Source organism: Homo sapiens, chromosome 17 (genome assembly GCF_000001405.40).
Source record: "Homo sapiens chromosome 17, GRCh38.p14 Primary Assembly".
Lineage (NCBI taxonomy): Eukaryota > Metazoa > Chordata > Mammalia > Primates > Hominidae > Homo > Homo sapiens.
In genome coordinates, this window is record NC_000017.11 from 7667912 (window position 1) to 7681547 (window position 13636).

Sequence of the window (13636 nt, forward strand, 5' to 3'; positions counted from 1 at the left end):
TACTCTTACCTTAGCTGCCCCCACTTTCCTGGGACCCTGGCTAGCAGGCCTCCCACTGGCCTCTCTCCATCCAGTAGCACCCACCCCTGTTCCCCTTGGGAACCCAGGTATCCTGCCACTTTCTGATGGAGCAGATGGCCACCCTGGAGGCTCAGCCTTGCTAAATCAGACATTTAAATCCCGTAATCCTTGGTGAGAGGCTGCCGAGGGGGAAGCAGCCCAGTCCTAGAAGCAGGGGAGGGAGAGAACCTTGTGCCAGCCGTGGCCGGAGGGGAGGAGGGACGGTTGGTTCCTGAGTTATGAATGGAGCCACCCCCTCCCTTGTTGTCATGCAGCCCGCAGACTGACCCAGTCTCCAGCCTTTGTTCCCCTCCCGGAACCCGGGCACTGGGCCCCCCAGCCCACACTCATTGCAGACTCAGGTGGCTGCTTCCCAGCACCTCCTCACTCACCCCTGCACCTGCTGACCCCAGTAGCCTGCACTGGCGTTCACCCCTCAGACACACAGGTGGCAGCAAAGTTTTATTGTAAAATAAGAGATCGATATAAAAATGGGATATAAAAAGGGAGAAGGAGGGGAAGGGTGGGGTGAAAATGCAGATGTGCTTGCAGAATGTAAAAGATGTTGACCCTTCCAGCTGGACGTGGTGGCTCACAATTGTAATCCCAGCACTCTGGGAGGCTGAGACAGGTGGATCGCCTGAGCCCAGGAGTTTGAGACCAGCCTGGGCAACACTGTGAGACCCCATCTCTACAAAACATGCAAAAGTTGGCTGGCCATGGTGGCATGAACCTGTGGTCCCAGCTACTCCGGAGGCTGAGGCAGGACTGCTCGAGCCGGGGAGGCAAAGGCTGCAGTAAGCCAAGATCACGCCACTCCACTCCAGCCTGGGCAACAAAGCGAGACCCAGTCTCAAAGAAAAAGAAAAAAAAAAAAAAAAAAGAAAAAAGAAATTGACCCTGAGCATAAAACAAGTCTTGGTGGATCCAGATCATCATATACAAGAGATGAAATCCTCCAGGGTGTGGGATGGGGTGAGATTTCCTTTTAGGTACTAAGGTTCACCAAGAGGTTGTCAGACAGGGTTTGGCTGGGCCAGCAGAGACTTGACAACTCCCTCTACCTAACCAGCTGCCCAACTGTAGAAACTACCAACCCACCGACCAACAGGGAGAGGGAACAAGCACCCTCAAGGGGGTCAAGTTCTAGACCCCATGTAATAAAAGGTGGTTTCAAGGCCAGATGTACATTATTTCATTAACCCTCACAATGCACTCTGTGAGGTAGGTGCAAATGCCAGCATTTCACAGATATGGGCCTTGAAGTTAGAGAAAATTCAACAGTGAGGGACAGCTTCCCTGGTTAGTACGGTGAAGTGGGCCCCTACCTAGAATGTGGCTGATTGTAAACTAACCCTTAACTGCAAGAACATTTCTTACATCTCCCAAACATCCCTCACAGTAAAAACCTTAAAATCTAAGCTGGTATGTCCTACTCCCCATCCTCCTCCCCACAACAAAACACCAGTGCAGGCCAACTTGTTCAGTGGAGCCCCGGGACAAAGCAAATGGAAGTCCTGGGTGCTTCTGACGCACACCTATTGCAAGCAAGGGTTCAAAGACCCAAAACCCAAAATGGCAGGGGAGGGAGAGATGGGGGTGGGAGGCTGTCAGTGGGGAACAAGAAGTGGAGAATGTCAGTCTGAGTCAGGCCCTTCTGTCTTGAACATGAGTTTTTTATGGCGGGAGGTAGACTGACCCTTTTTGGACTTCAGGTGGCTGTAGGAGACAGAAGCAGGGAGGAGAGATGACATCACATGAGTGAGAGGGTCTGTGCCCCTTTTCCCTGACCAATGCTTTGAAGGGCCTAAGGCTGGGACAACGGGAATTCAAATCAAGATGGTGGCCACACCCCATGCAAATATGTTTACTGAGCACCTCAGAGTATTAGTGTGTATTAGTCTCGTAATCTTCCCTTACCCCATTTTACTTTATTTATCTTTTTTGAGACGGAGTTTCACTCTTGTTGCCCAGGCTGGAGTGTAATGGTGAGATCTCAGCTCACCGCAACCTCTGCCTCCCGGGTTCAAGCGATTCTCCTGCCTCAGCCTCCCGAGTAGGTAGCTGGGATTACAGGCATGCATCACCACGCCCGGCTACTTTTGTATTTTTAGTAGAGATGGGGTTTCTCCATGTTGGTCAGGCTGGGCTCAAACTCCCGACCTCAGGTGATCCACTCGCCTTGGCCTCCCAGAGTGTGGGATTCGTGAGCCACTGCGCCCGGCCCCCTTACCCCATTTTATATATAAGGAAACTGAGTTTGACGGGGGTCACCTAGGACCTGCCGGTGCATGGCAGGGCTGAGTATATGACCTGAAACTCTGGCTGTATTCAGTATTACACAATTATTAGGCCCCTCCTTGAGACCCTCCAGCTCTGGGCTGGGAGTTGCGGAGAATGGCAAAGAAGTATCCACACTCGTCCCTGGGTTTGGATGTTCTGTGGATACACTGAGGCAAGAATGTGGTTATAGGATTCAACCGGAGGAAGACTAAAAAAATGTCTGTGCAGGGCTGGGACCCAATGAGATGGGGTCAGCTGCCTTTGACCATGAAGGCAGGATGAGAATGGAATCCTATGGCTTTCCAACCTAGGAAGGCAGGGGAGTAGGGCCAGGAAGGGGCTGAGGTCACTCACCTGGAGTGAGCCCTGCTCCCCCCTGGCTCCTTCCCAGCCTGGGCATCCTTGAGTTCCAAGGCCTCATTCAGCTCTCGGAACATCTCGAAGCGCTCACGCCCACGGATCTGCAGCAACAGAGGAGGGGGAGAAGTAAGTATATACACAGTACCTGAGTTAAAAGATGGTTCAAGTTACAATTGTTTGACTTTATGACGGTACAAAAGCAACATGCATTTAGTAGAAACTGCACTTCAAGTACCTATACAGCTGACTTTTAAAAATATTTATTTATTTATTTTGAGATGGGGTCTCACTCTGTTGCCCAGGCGGGAGTGCAATGGTGCAATCTTGGCTGATTGCAATCTCCGCCTCTGGGGTTCAAGTGATTCTTGTGCCTCAGCCTCCCGAGTAGCTGGGACTACAGGCGTGTGCTACCACACCTGGCTAATTTTTGTGTTTTTAGTAGAGATGGGGCTTCACCATGTTAGCCAGGCTGGTTTCCAACTCCTGACGTCAGGTGATCTACCCACCTCCACCTCCCAAAGTGCTGGGATTACAGGTGTGAGCCACTGTGCCCGGCCCTTTTTTAAATTTTAGAGATGATGTCTTGCTATGTTGTTCAGGCTGGACTCAAACTCTTGGGCTCAAGAGATCCTCCTGCCTTAGCCTCTCAAGTAACTGGGACTACATGTGCATGCGACTGTGCCTCGTTTCTTTTCTTTTTTTTCTGAGACGGAGTCTCACTCTATCGCCCAGGCTGGAGTGCAGTGGCGCCATCTTGGCTCCCTGCAACCTCCGCCTCCTGGTTCAAGCGATTCTCCTGCCTCAGCCTCCCAAGTAGCTGGGATTACAGGCACCTGCCATCACGCCCGGTTAATTTTTGTATTTTAGTAGAGACGGGGTTTCACCATGTTGGCTAGGCTGGTCTTGAACTCCTGACCTCAGGTGATCCACCCGCCTCAGCCTCCCGAAATGCTGGGATTACAGGCGTGAGCCAGTGCGCCTGGCCTTTTCTTTTTTTGAGTCTCGCTCTGCGCCCAGGCTGTGCCTGGCTCGACTGTGCCTCCTTTCATGCAACCATGCTGTTTCTCACTTTCAGTAACAATATTCAATAAATCACATGAGATATACAACATTTTATTACTATAAAAAGGGCTTTGTGTTAGATGACTTTGCCCAACTGTAGGGTAACTTAAATGCTCTGAACACGTTTCAAGTAGGCTAGGGCTGAGTGTGGTAGCTCATGCCTGTAACCCCAATACTTGGGGAGGCTGAGGTGGAAGGATTGATTGAGCCCAGGGGTTTGATACCAGCATGGGCAACGTAGCAAGACCTTGACTTCACAGAAAATAAAAAATTAGCTGGGTGTCGTGGCATGTGCCTGTAGTCCTAGCTACTTGGGAGGGTGAAATCACCGGAGCCCAGGGAGGTCAAGGCTGCAGTGAGCTGAGATGGTGCCACTGCACTCTAGCCTGAGTGACAGAGTGAGACTCTGTCTTTAAATAAATAAATAAAAATTAGCCGGGCGTGGTGGCTCACACCTGTAATCCCAGCACTTTGGGAGGCCGAGGCGGGCGGATCACATGGTCAGAAGTTCGAGACCAGCCTGGCCAACATGGTGAAACCCTGTCTCTACTAAAAATACAAAAATTAGCTGGGCGTGGTAGCAGGCGCTTGTAGTCCTAGCTATTCGGGAGGCTGAGGCAGGAGAATCACTTGAACCCAGGAGGCAGAGGTTGCAGTGAGCCGAGATCATGCCACTGCACTCCAGCCTGGGCGACAGAGTGAGACTGAGTCTCAAAAAAATAAAATAAAATAAAATAAAAATAAATAAATAAAAATTAGCCAGGCATGGTGGTGCAGGCCTGTAGTTGAAGCAACTTGGGAGGCTGAGCTGGGAGGATGGATGGAGCCTGGGAGGTGGAGGCTGCAGTGAGCTGTGACTGCACTACTGCACTCTATCCAGCCTGGGTGACAGAGCAAGACCTTGTCTCAAAAAAGTAGGCTAGAGACCAGCCTGGGCAACATAGTGAGACTCTATCTATCTACAAAAAATTTTAAAAATTAGCTGGGTATGGTGGTGTATGCCTGTGGTCCTAGCTACTGGGGAGGCAGAGTTAGGGGGATTGCTTGAGCCCAGGAGGGTATAATGAGCTATGATCACATCACTGTAATCCAGCCTGGGCAACAGAGCAAGATGCTGTCTCCATTAAAAATAAAATAAAAGTAGGCTAGGCAGGCCGGGTGCGGTGGCTCACGCCTGTAATCCCAGCACTTTGGGAGGCCAAGGCAGGCAGATCACAAGGTCAGGAGTTCGAGACTAGCCTGGCCAACATGGTGAAACCTCATCTCTACTAAAAAAAAAAATAAATAAATAACAAAAAATTAGCTGGGCGTCGGGGCAGGTGCCTGTAATCCCAGCTACTCAGTGGGCTGAGGCAGGAGAATCGCTTGAACCCAGAAGGCGGAGGTTGCAGTGAGCCGAGATCCCGCCACTGCACTCCAGCCTGGGTGACAGAGTGAGACTCTGTCTCCAAAAAAAAAAAAAAAAAAAGCAGGCTAGGCTAAGCTATGATGTTCCTTAGATTAGGTGTATTAAATCCATTTTCAACTTACAATATTTTCAACTTACGACGAGTTTATCAGGAAGTAACACCATCGTAAGTCAAGTAGCATCTGTATCAGGCAAAGTCATAGAACCATTTTCATGCTCTCTTTAACAATTTTCTTTTTGAAAGCTGGTCTGGTCCTTTAAAATATATATTATGGTATAAGTTGGTGTTCTGAAGTTAGTTAGCTACAACCAGGAGCCATTGTCTTTGAGGCATCACTGCCCCCTGATGGCAAATGCCCCAATTGCAGGTAAAACAGTCAAGAAGAAAACGGCATTTTGAGTGTTAGACTGGAAACTTTCCACTTGATAAGAGGTCCCAAGACTTAGTACCTGAAGGGTGAAATATTCTCCATCCAGTGGTTTCTTCTTTGGCTGGGGAGAGGAGCTGGTGTTGTTGGGCAGTGCTAGGAAAGAGGCAAGGAAAGGTGATAAAAGTGAATCTGAGGCATAACTGCACCCTTGGTCTCCTCCACCGCTTCTTGTCCTGCTTGCTTACCTCGCTTAGTGCTCCCTGGGGGCAGCTCGTGGTGAGGCTCCCCTTTCTTGCGGAGATTCTCTTCCTCTGTGCGCCGGTCTCTCCCAGGACAGGCACAAACACGCACCTCAAAGCTGTTCCGTCCCAGTAGATTACCACTACTCAGGATAGGAAAAGAGAAGCAAGAGGCAGTAAGGAAATCAGGTCCTACCTGTCCCATTTAAAAAACCAGGCTCCATCTACTCCCAACCACCCTTGTCCTTTCTGGAGCCTAAGCTCCAGCTCCAGGTAGGTGGAGGAGAAGCCACAGGTTAAGAGGTCCCAAAGCCAGAGAAAAGAAAACTGAGTGGGAGCAGTAAGGAGATTCCCCGCCGGGGATGTGATGAGAGGTGGATGGGTAGTAGTATGGAAGAAATCGGTAAGAGGTGGGCCCAGGGGTCAGAGGCAAGCAGAGGCTGGGGCACAGCAGGCCAGTGTGCAGGGTGGCAAGTGGCTCCTGACCTGGAGTCTTCCAGTGTGATGATGGTGAGGATGGGCCTCCGGTTCATGCCGCCCATGCAGGAACTGTTACACATGTAGTTGTAGTGGATGGTGGTACAGTCAGAGCCAACCTAGGAGATAACACAGGCCCAAGATGAGGCCAGTGCGCCTTGGGGAGACCTGTGGCAAGCAGGGGAGGCCTTTTTTTTTTTTTTTTGAGATGGAATCTCGCTCTGTCGCCCAGGCTGGAGTGCAGTGGCGTGATCTCAGCTCACTGCAAGCTCCACCGCCCAGGTTCACGCCATTCTCCTTCCTCAGCCTCCCGAGTAGCTGGGACTACAGGTGCCCAGCACCACGCCCGGCTAATTTTTTTTTGTATTTTTCAGTAGAGACGGGGTTTCACCGTTAGCCAGGATGGTCTCGATCTCCCAACCTCGTGATCCGCCTGCCTTGGCCTCCCAAAGTGCTGGGATTACAGGCATGAGCCACTGCGCCCAGCCAAGCAGGGGAGGCCCTTAGCCTCTGTAAGCTTCAGTTTTTTCAACTGTGCAATAGTTAAACCCATTTACTTTGCACATCTCATGGGGTTATAGGGAGGTCAAATAAGCAGCAGGAGAAAGCCCCCCTACTGCTCACCTGGAGGGCCACTGACAACCACCCTTAACCCCTCCTCCCAGAGACCCCAGTTGCAAACCAGACCTCAGGCGGCTCATAGGGCACCACCACACTATGTCGAAAAGTGTTTCTGTCATCCAAATACTCCACACGCAAATTTCCTTCCACTCGGATAAGATGCTGAGGAGGGGCCAGACCTAAGAGCAATCAGTGAGGAATCAGAGGCCTGGGGACCCTGGGCAACCAGCCCTGTCGTCTCTCCAGCCCCAGCTGCTCACCATCGCTATCTGAGCAGCGCTCATGGTGGGGGCAGCGCCTCACAACCTCCGTCATGTGCTGTGACTGCTTGTAGATGGCCATGGCGCGGACGCGGGTGCCGGGCGGGGGTGTGGAATCAACCCACAGCTGCACAGGGCAGGTCTTGGCCAGTTGGCAAAACATCTTGTTGAGGGCAGGGGAGTACTGTAGGAAGAGGAAGGAGACAGAGTTGAAAGTCAGGGCACAAGTGAACAGATAAAGCAACTGGAAGACGGCAGCAAAGAAACAAACATGCGTAAGCACCTCCTGCAACCCACTAGCGAGCTAGAGAGAGTTGGCGTCTACACCTCAGGAGCTTTTCTTTTTTTTTTTTTTTTTTGAGATAGGGTCTTGCTCTGTCACTCAGGCTGGAGCACAGTGGTGTGATCACAGCTCACTGCAGCCTCCATCTCCTGGCCTCAAGTGATCTTCCCACCTCAGCCTCCTAAGTGGCTGGGACTATAGGTGTGCACCACCATGCCTGGCTAATTTTTTGTATTTTTTTGTAGAGACGAGGTTTCATCATGTTACCCAGGCTGGTCTTGAACTCCTGGGCTCAGGTGATCTGCCTGCCTTGGCCTCTTTGAGAGTGCTGGGATTGCAGGTGTGAGCCACCAAGCCTGGTCAGGAGCTTATTTTCAAAAGCCAAGGAATACACGTGGATGAAGAAAAAGAAAAGTTCTGCATCCCCAGGAGAGATGCTGAGGGTGTGATGGGATGGATAAAAGCCCAAATTCAAGGGGGGAATATTCAACTTTGGGACAGGAGTCAGAGATCACACATTAAGTGGGTAAACTATAAAAAAACACTGACAGGAAGCCAAAGGGTGAAGAGGAATCCCAAAGTTCCAAACAAAAGAAATGCAGGGGGATACGGCCAGGCATTGAAGTCTCATGGAAGCCAGCCCCTCAGGGCAACTGACCGTGCAAGTCACAGACTTGGCTGTCCCAGAATGCAAGAAGCCCAGACGGAAACCGTAGCTGCCCTGGTAGGTTTTCTGGGAAGGGACAGAAGATGACAGGGGCCAGGAGGGGGCTGGTGCAGGGGCCGCCGGTGTAGGAGCTGCTGGTGCAGGGGCCACGGGGGGAGCAGCCTCTGGCATTCTGGGAGCTTCATCTGGACCTGGGTCTTCAGTGAACCATTGTTCAATATCGTCCGGGGACAGCATCAAATCATCCATTGCTTGGGACGGCAAGGGGGACTGTAGATGGGTGAAAAGAGCAGTCAGAGGACCAGGTCCTCAGCCCCCCAGCCCCCCAGCCCTCCAGGTCCCCAGCCCTCCAGGTCCCCAGCCCAACCCTTGTCCTTACCAGAACGTTGTTTTCAGGAAGTCTGAAAGACAAGAGCAGAAAGTCAGTCCCATGGAATTTTCGCTTCCCACAGGTCTCTGCTAGGGGGCTGGGGTTGGGGTGGGGGTGGTGGGCCTGCCCTTCCAATGGATCCACTCACAGTTTCCATAGGTCTGAAAATGTTTCCTGACTCAGAGGGGGCTCGACGCTAGGATCTGACTGCGGCTCCTCCATGGCAGTGACCCGGAAGGCAGTCTGGCTGCTGCAAGAGGAAAAGTGGGGATCCAGCATGAGACACTTCCAACCCTGGGTCACCTGGGCCTGCAGAGAAGGAACCCCCTCCCCCAACACCATGCCAGTGTCTGAGACAGCTCGGCTTCCTGTGGAGCAGGAAAAGAATGGCTGCTTCACATTCTCTCTTCCAATGTTTCACCACAACCCAAGCACTCCTGCCCCACCCCTCACCAGCCATGCACTTCTTTGAGGAAAAGACAATCAGAGAGGGACTTCCAACCTTCCCACCACTAAATCCCCAAGACTTCCTAAATGTGCACCCTATTCCCAACTCCCTTCCTGTATTTTTTTTTTTTTTTTGAGATGGAGTCTCTCTCTGTCACCTAGGCTGGAGCACAGTGGCATGATCTCAGCTCACTGCAACCTCTACCTTCCGGGTTCAAGCCATTCTCCTGCCTCAGTCTCCCGAGTAGCTGGGATTACAGGCGAGTACCACCACACCCAGCTAATTTTTGTATTTTTAGTAGAGACAGGGCTTTGCATGTTGGCCAGGCTGGTCTCGAACTCCTTACTTCAGGTGATCGGCCCGCCTCAGCCTCCTAAAGTGCCAAGATTACAGGTGTGAGCTACCGTGCCCTGCTCCCACCTCCTGTTAACAAGGATATAGTCATTCTCAGCCTGCAATCTCTGTATGGGGAAGGACACCCCCTTGGCCCCCACCCTTCCCCACCTGATACACGGCTCCATTTCTTTGATTCCTTTCACTGCAAAGCTTCTGGAAGAACAACTGTCTCACCGCTCACCTGCCCATTCTCTTCGGACACTCCTCAGCCCTGCATTACAAACCCCTCACGAATGGCCCGTCTCGGCTTCTTTAATCTCATCTCTTAACAACCACTCCCTCTTCCCCAAAAGCTCTAGCTAGACTGGCTGCCCTTCTCTGCTAATCAACTGGTGGTTCCTTGGCTAGCCAGGAACATGGGGGTAGGCTCCTTCCCGTGCAGACTTTAAGTCATCCTATTTTAATTCACATCACCTCATTTGCATTCTCATAGCACTTACATTGTCTGATACTTTTCCTTGTTTATTTTATCTGTTTCCTCTAATAGCATATACACTTCCTAAGGGCAGGGCAGTGATCTATCTTGTTGTCTTGCTGACCAAAGTATTAGATCACAATGCCTTGCACCTGCTTGGGCTCAATAAATGTGAATAACACACAAGCCTGTTATATGAGAGGTTAAGAGAGCGAGAAAGAGCAAGGGGCAGCCCCTGTGTGGACCAGCATCTTGCACGAAGTTATGCAACTATCATCGCACCTTCTCCCAGACAAGCTTTCAAAGGCTTTGCCATGTTTTCTTTTGTTTTGTTTTTTTGTTTGTTTTTTGAGATGGAGTTTGGCTCTTTTCGCCCAGGCTGGAGTGCAGTGGTGCAGTCTAGGCTCACTGCAACCTCTGCCTTCTGGTTTCAAGCAATTCTCCTGCCTCAGCCTCCCGAGTAGCTGGGATTACAGGCCCCTGCCACCATGCCTGGCTGATTTTTTGTATTTTTAGTAGAGACAGGGTTTCACCATGTTGGCCAGGCTGGTGTGGAACTCCTGACCTTGTGATCCACCTGCCTCGGCCTCTCAAAGCGCTGGGATTACAGGTGTGAGCCACTGTGCCTGGCCCGCCATGTTCTTTCTTTCTTTCTTTTTTCTTTTGAGGCAGGGTCTTGCTTTGTTGCCCAAGCTAGGGTACAGTGGTGCAATCATGGCTCACTACAGCCTCGGACTCCTGGGCTCAGTGATTCTCCTGCCTCAGCCTCCCAAGTAGCTGGGACCACAGAGGCCTGCCTGGCTAATTTTTTAGTCTTTTTCTTTTTCTTTTTTTTTTTGGAGACGGAGTCTCGCCCTGTCACCCAGGCTAGAGTGCAGTGGTGTGATCTCGACTCACTGTAACCTCCACCTCCCAGATTCAAGCGATCCTCTTGCCTCAACTTCCTGAGTAGCTGGGATTACAGGCGCCCACCAATGCGCCTGATTAATTTTTTGTATTTTTAGTAGAGATGGGGTTTTGCCATGTTGGCCAGGCTGGTTTCGAACTCCTGACCTCAGGTGATCCTCCCGCCTCCGACTCCCAAAGTGCTGGGATTACAGGTGTGAGCCACTGCACCCGGCCAATTTTTGAGTTTTTTTGTAGAGGCAGGGTTTCACTATGTTGCCCAGGCAGGATGCTCTCTTTCTTTTTCTTTTTTTTTTTTTCAGGGATGCTCTCTTTCTTTATGCCAAATTTGTCATCAGATTTGCTAAGAAACATGCCTACTGTAAGTGTTTGTTACACTTTTCTGTTTTTTTTTTTTTTTGAGACAGAGTTTTGCTCTCGTCCAGGCTGGAGTGCAATGGTGCGATCTCGGCTCACCGCAACCTCTGCCTCCCAGGTTCAAGCGATTCTCCTGCCTCAGCCTCCCGAGTAGCTGGGATTACAGGCATGCGCCACTGCGCCCGGCTAATTTTGTATTTTTAGTAGAGACGGGGTTTCTCCATATTGGTCAGGCTGGTCTTGAACTCCCAACTTCAGGTGATCCGCCCGCCTTGGCCTCCCAAAGTGCTGGGATTACAGGCATGAACCACTGTGCCCAGCCCACTTTTCTGTTGTTTGCACTGACAAAACATCCCCTACCAAACAGCTCCTTTAATGGCAGGCTCTTTTCTTTTTTTATTTTATTTTATTTTATTTTATTTTATTTTATTTTATTTTGAGACGGAGTCTCAGCTCTTATTGCCCAGGCTGGAGTACAGTGGCACTATCTCCGCTTACTGCAACCTCCTCCCGGATTCAAATGATTCTCCTGCCTCAGCCTGCTGAGTAGCTAGGACTACAAGCATGTGCCACCACACCTGGCTAATTTTGTACTTCTAGTAGAGACGGGGTTTCACCATGTTGGTCAGGCTGGTCTTGAACTCCCGACCTCAGGTGATCCACCCCCCTTGGCCTCCTAAAGTGCTGGGATTACAGGCGTGAGCCACCAAGCCTGGCCTACCTAGTACTCTGTGTATTATGGGAAATGTAGAGTTGAGGAAAGTGCTGGGCACACAGTAAGAGCTCAACAAAGGTTAGCTCTTTCTGCAATTGTTCTATTTCACTTGTTCTATATTATTATTCTAGAGAGAACTGTGTGATTGTTAGTGCGGATCTGTGGTACTGCTCCCACCCCCACTCCATTAATGCAAGTACACCTCCTTCAGGGATCTATTCAGTCAACAGGCCAGGAGGTGCTGTCCTGAAATGGGGGGCCCAAAGTCTCAATCCCACTTGGAGGGACACAGGTCTACAGACAGGTCTCCCTGTCTTTATCTCTCAAATCTTCAGTAGCAACTAAAATCTCCGTGTTTTTCAGAGCAGGACCTTCCCAGGGGTACCAGCATCAGTGGGCCAGGATACAAATGTGCCAGGCTGAACTAGGCCTTCCAAATGGCCAGGGAGCCAAGAGAAATGCAGGTGCCCTTGGCTGGGTGGGAAGGCAATGAGATCAACTGAGACCCCAAACAGGGGCAGGCCTGACCAGAATCTTAACAGTGGCTGCTGGTATCAGTCTTGAAGGCCTATATGTCCAGTGATTCCCTAAACAATATAGTACAAGTACTTACATACATACTTGCATGTACATTAGCATTTTCATTGTATGGGGGTAATGTAAGTAATCTAGAGATAATTTAAACTATATGGGAGGATATGTGTAGGTTAAATCCAAATACTATACCGTCTTATATATGGGACTTAGACATCTGTGGGTTTGGTGTGTGAGGAGTCCCAGAACCAAGCCCCTACAGATAGAGGGATAACTATATTGCCCTGTAACCTGCAACCCTGCTATATTTATTTATTAGTTTTGGTAGCTTTTTATGGATTTTCCATTAGGACTTTTTTTTTTTTTTGAGATAGAGTTTCACTCTTTTTTTTTTTTTTTGAGACGGAATCTCGCTCTGTTGCCCGGCGTGGTGTGCAATGGCATGATCTCAGCTCACTGCAACCTCCACCTCCTGGGTTCAAGCAATTCTTCTGTCTCAGCCTCCCAAGTAGCTGGGATTACAGGCGCCCACCACTACACCCAGCTAATTCTTGTATTTTTAGTAGAGACGGGGTTTCACCATGTTAGGTTGGTCTCAAACTCCTGACCTCAGGTGATCGGCCTGCCTCAGCCTCCCGAAGTGCTGGGATTACAGGCGTAAGCCACCACACCCTGCCGGAGTTTCACTCTTGTTGCCCAGGCTGGAGTGCAATAGCGCGATCTCGGCTCACTGCAACCTCTGCCTCCCAGGTCCAAGCAATTCTCCTGCCTCAGCCTCCTGAGTAGCTGGGATTAGAGGTGCCCGTCACCACGCCTGGCTGATTTTTTGTATTTTTATTAGAGTTGGGGTTTCACCATGTTGGCCAGGCTGGTCCCAGGGAAGCCACCTGCCTCAGCCTCCTAAAAGTGCTAGGATTACAGGCATGAGCCACCACGCCTGGCCCCATTAGGACATGTATGTATAGAATCATACTGGCTGTGAATGTGTTTTATTTCTTCCTTTCTAATCGTTATTTTTTTTCTTTCCTTTTTTTTTTTTTTTTTTGACATGGAATTTTGCTCTTGTCGCCTAGGCTGGAGTGCAATGGGACAATCTCGGCTCACTGCAACCTCTGCCTCCTGGGTTCAAGTGATTCTCCTGCCTCTGCCTCCTGAGTAGCTGGGACTACAGGCGTTCACCACTACCCCTGGCTAATTCTTTTTTTTTTGAGACGGAGTTTTTGCTTTTGTCACCCAGGCTGGAGTGCAATGGTGCAATCTCGGCTCACTACAACCTCCGCCTCCCAGGTTCAAGCGATTCTCCTGCCTAAGCCTCCCAAGTAGCTGGGATTACAGGCGCCCGCCACTACGCCCGGCTAATTTTTGTATTTTTAGTAGAGATGGGGTTTCACCATGTTGGCCAGG

General features: G+C 50.5%; 1 protein-coding gene across 26 annotated transcripts in view, besides 4 other annotated features; it reads right to left on the reverse strand.

Annotated features, from left to right (window-relative positions):
- Nucleotides 1-798: an enhancer, noted in NCBI's record as "H3K4me1 hESC enhancer chr17:7571230-7572027 (GRCh37/hg19 assembly coordinates)". NCBI's record gives its function as "activates a minimal SCP1, AML or CMV promoter by ChIP-STARR-seq in naive H9 embryonic stem cells {active_cell/tissue: H9 hESC(naive)}" and the evidence as "EXISTENCE:reporter gene assay evidence [ECO:0000049][PMID:30033119]".
- The window catches only part of TP53 (tumor protein p53), a 19070-nt gene continuing 5943 nt past the window's right edge, over nucleotides 510-13636 (reverse strand). For 2 of the 26 annotated variants that reach the window (NM_001407270.1, NM_001407271.1), the window contains exons 1-12: nucleotides 9414-9540; nucleotides 8610-8711; nucleotides 8471-8492; nucleotides 8083-8361; nucleotides 7142-7325; nucleotides 6948-7060; nucleotides 6270-6379; nucleotides 5790-5926; nucleotides 5624-5697; nucleotides 5296-5428; nucleotides 2698-2804; nucleotides 510-1779 (exon numbers count right to left, since the gene is read on the reverse strand). In NM_001407270.1, coding sequence (NP_001394199.1) covers nucleotides 5396-5428; nucleotides 5624-5697; nucleotides 5790-5926; nucleotides 6270-6379; nucleotides 6948-7060; nucleotides 7142-7325; nucleotides 8083-8361; nucleotides 8471-8492; nucleotides 8610-8683 — 1026 coding nt within the window. In that variant the 5' untranslated portion in view covers nucleotides 8684-8711; nucleotides 9414-9540 and the 3' untranslated portion in view covers nucleotides 510-1779; nucleotides 2698-2804; nucleotides 5296-5395. Of the gene's footprint in view, nucleotides 1780-2697; nucleotides 2805-5295; nucleotides 5429-5623; nucleotides 5698-5789; nucleotides 5927-6269; nucleotides 6380-6947; nucleotides 7061-7141; nucleotides 7334-8082; nucleotides 8362-8470; nucleotides 8712-9413; nucleotides 9541-13636 lie in introns of those variants that run through there. The other 24 variants (NM_001407269.1, NM_001407268.1, NM_001276695.3 and 21 more) reach the window with 13 other exon arrangements.
- Nucleotides 9058-9669: an enhancer, noted in NCBI's record as "NANOG-H3K27ac-H3K4me1 hESC enhancer chr17:7580287-7580898 (GRCh37/hg19 assembly coordinates)". NCBI's record gives its function as "activates a minimal SCP1, AML or CMV promoter by ChIP-STARR-seq in naive H9 embryonic stem cells {active_cell/tissue: H9 hESC(naive)}" and the evidence as "EXISTENCE:reporter gene assay evidence [ECO:0000049][PMID:30033119]".
- Nucleotides 9670-10281: an enhancer, noted in NCBI's record as "NANOG-H3K27ac-H3K4me1 hESC enhancer chr17:7580899-7581510 (GRCh37/hg19 assembly coordinates)". NCBI's record gives its function as "activates a minimal SCP1, AML or CMV promoter by ChIP-STARR-seq in naive and primed H9 embryonic stem cells {active_cell/tissue: H9 hESC(naive and primed)}" and the evidence as "EXISTENCE:reporter gene assay evidence [ECO:0000049][PMID:30033119]".
- Nucleotides 10282-10892: an enhancer, noted in NCBI's record as "H3K27ac hESC enhancer chr17:7581511-7582121 (GRCh37/hg19 assembly coordinates)". NCBI's record gives its function as "activates a minimal SCP1, AML or CMV promoter by ChIP-STARR-seq in primed H9 embryonic stem cells {active_cell/tissue: H9 hESC(primed)}" and the evidence as "EXISTENCE:reporter gene assay evidence [ECO:0000049][PMID:30033119]".